This window comes from Homo sapiens, chromosome 4, assembly GCF_000001405.40.
Source record: "Homo sapiens chromosome 4, GRCh38.p14 Primary Assembly".
Classification (NCBI taxonomy): domain Eukaryota; kingdom Metazoa; phylum Chordata; class Mammalia; order Primates; family Hominidae; genus Homo; species Homo sapiens.
In genome coordinates this window covers 26,029,075-26,032,057 of record NC_000004.12, presented here as the reverse complement: position 1 = coordinate 26,032,057, position 2,983 = coordinate 26,029,075, and the positions used below count along the sequence as shown (strand labels likewise).

The 2,983-nt window shown below is 51.2% G+C and overlaps 2 annotated features.

The window, feature by feature from the left end:
* Positions 1,510–2,092: an enhancer, noted in NCBI's record as "OCT4-NANOG-H3K27ac-H3K4me1 hESC enhancer chr4:26031588-26032170 (GRCh37/hg19 assembly coordinates)". NCBI's record gives its function as "activates a minimal SCP1, AML or CMV promoter by ChIP-STARR-seq in naive H9 embryonic stem cells {active_cell/tissue: H9 hESC(naive)}" and the evidence as "EXISTENCE:reporter gene assay evidence [ECO:0000049][PMID:30033119]".
* Positions 2,093–2,674: an enhancer, noted in NCBI's record as "NANOG-H3K27ac-H3K4me1 hESC enhancer chr4:26031006-26031587 (GRCh37/hg19 assembly coordinates)". NCBI's record gives its function as "activates a minimal SCP1, AML or CMV promoter by ChIP-STARR-seq in naive H9 embryonic stem cells {active_cell/tissue: H9 hESC(naive)}" and the evidence as "EXISTENCE:reporter gene assay evidence [ECO:0000049][PMID:30033119]".

Genomic DNA, 2,983 nt, shown 5'->3' with positions numbered 1-2,983 from the left:
CCCTCCTTTGGGCCCCACTGTATCAGGAACATTCTCCCATCTAGTACTTCTGCATGTTATGACACTTACTTGTGATATAGGTTTATCTCCTTCTGAGGAACTCTGGCCTGCTACAGAGAGGGGACACGTCTTATTTACTCAATATCCTCTGATAACCAACGCGATGTGTGTACTTAGCAGGACTGAGTAAATGCTTACTGAGTGGGTGAACAATCCTATTTTCCATTTAACTCAGAGCAGGTAAGAGTGTGCAAGGTCACCTAGCAGGTGGGTGCCTGAGCCTGGATTTAGACTCAAGTTTGTCCGAATCTAAAGCTTGTGTCAATTCCACTACTCCACCTTTCCTCTCCAGTTAGTTAGCCCTGCCTCCCTACACACACACACACATGCACGCACAGACCACAGAAGAGAGTGGATGAAATTATATAGAGTGTCAGAAAAAGAGATGACCTAAGACATTATGGAAACCAACTCATTTATTTAACGAAGGAGGAAACTGAGGCCAAAGAAATTCAATAATTTGTGTAAAGTGCTGTGCTCTGGGCTTTGGGCCTACTTAAAAGCTGGATCTAGGTTTATTCCTGTTGATAACCATATTCGATTTAATTATTATTTTTTTTTTTAGGTGGAGTCTCACTCTGTAGCCTAGGCTGGAGGGCAGTGGTGCCATCTCGGCTCACTGCAACCTCCACCTCCCAGGCTCAAGCGATTCTCTTGCCTCAGCCTCCTGATTAGCTGGGATTACAGGCGCCTGCCACCATGCTCGGCTAATTTTTTGTGTTTTTTTTTAGTAGAGACAGGGTTTCACCACGTTAACCAGGCTGGTCTTGAACTCCTGACCTCAGGTGATCCGCCCACCTCGGCCTCTCAAAGTGCTAGGATTACAGGCCTGAGCCACCATGTCCAGCGTCATATTTGATTTAATTTAATCCACAACCGTACAGAAGATATGTAGCTGAGTGAGTGATCCCAGCCTAGCTGGGAAATAAATACACACATATCTAAATACAAGGCAGGATGTGAGAGATTCAGAGTGGTGCAGGCGTTAGAGGAGGGAGAAGTCTCATCTGACTTAGTAAACTTGAGAAAGATTTCTCATAGGAAGTGATACTGAGATGAGCCTTGAAAAAGGACTGGAAGATAGAAAATTCAGGTGGGGACACGGCGCAGCAATGGCATGGCAGTGTGAAAGCATGGGCTGTGCATCCGAAGAATCAGACAAAGCGTGGTCCTTACCTGAAGGTGCAGGACTGGAGACGATACTGTATGTAGGGTGGACTGAGGTGTGCTGGGGAGTGATGAGAGTAGAGATAGATAGCTGGAGCTTTAACAGAACAATAAGAGAAAGAAGAAAAGCTAAGTGATTTGGACCTGATGAGAACAGAGTTCTTCAGACTGCAAGACAGGGGAAGGGGGATCCCATTTCAAGGCAGTAACATGCTTTCTCTTCCGGTTCCCACTCTCCCTGTTCTCCCTAGATATCTGGCTGCAGGGGGAGGAGGCGTGATGAGATGGGGAGAGGGGAAAATTGTGGGCAGATTCAACTCGGTTACAGGAGGAATCCCAAGAGACACCCAGGCAATGCTGAGCTTTGGTCATTCAAAATAAGGTTATGCAGAAAGTTCCTGCCTGAGAGGCCAGACCATTATTCTGAGACGGGATTTTTCAAATTCTTCTTCCTCTTCCCTTGGTATTTCAAGGTGAATCCTAAAGCGCTGAGCTAGGGATTTCCAAAATACACAGCTGGATACCAAAGCCAGTCACTAAGGGTTCAGGGGAGTCTGGAAGGAGGAAATGTGGAGAGAAAGAAGTCAAGGGAAAGCCCACCGTGCTTTTTCTGTACCTGGGAATCTTTTAAAAAGAGAAGGACGTGGACTGGCTGAGAATAGCCAAGACATCAACAGAGTTGATGGAAGACCTGGCTTTCCCATCTCTGGGCCCGCAGAGGGACAGCGTTAGAGATGTCACCCTTCAGGACTCCGAGAGGAAGCCACTTCACAAGCTGCCCCCTAAGAACCCAGGCTGCAGCCCCGGAAAGGAGCTGCGTTATGGTCAGCCTGGGGGCTTCCCAGAGCTCCCTTCAGTCCCACGGGGCACAGATGCTGAGTCGGGAACCAGTGGACCCACCAGTGAGCTTGCTGTTATGAGACAAGGTGACCGCCCGGTCACGCCCAAGGGCTGGACCTCCCCAGGAACAGACTGGAGAGCCATTGGGGGATACGGGGAGAGCTCTGGGGCTGCAGCCCACTCGGGGCACTGCCTGGGCTGGAAGAATGGGCCACACATTCAGTACTGGAGGCCAGGAGGTCCAGCACGACACAGGCCACAAAAGGACGTCTCCCCAAAGACCAGCAGGCAGCAGCTGGCACACAGCCAGGGACCTTCATGGGACCAAGGAACCCACTGCTCTGCTGCCACGGCGGGGAAAGCCCCCTCGCTCCCCATATCCCTGCCTCCGCAGTGAGAGACAGAGCAAGCAGCAGCTCTCAGAGACACTGAGCGCTTTTCCTAAAGACCCAGCACTTTCTGCAGGGTTTAAAATATCAGCTCAAAGTTTAACTGGATTGGACATCTCATTTATCCTCCCATCCCACTAACTAGTGGGTGAGGCTCAGAAGAGAAAGACCAGATTAGTTCTAAGCAATATAGTGATCCTCCGTTTTCCCTTCGCATCCGATGTGCTGTAGGAGATATATTTGTACAGCCTGGTGACTATCAGTCCTTGGGACAGCAGGGCCAGCCTGGGGAGGGCCCCTGCGGCGGTGGCAGGGTGGGCTCTGCTGCTCTGCCTCCCTGGCAGGGCTCACTGCGGCAGAGTAGGGAGGCCTTGTGGCGAAGGTCCTGAGCAAGACGTGGGGTCTCCGTTCCACCAGGGGTGGGTGGGGGCCGGCCGGGATGGAGGAGAGATTCAGGAGTAGAGTGGGAGGCTGTCCCAAGCGCCTTAGGCCTCTAGGGAGCAGCGGCCTGCCAGGATGGTCTGGAA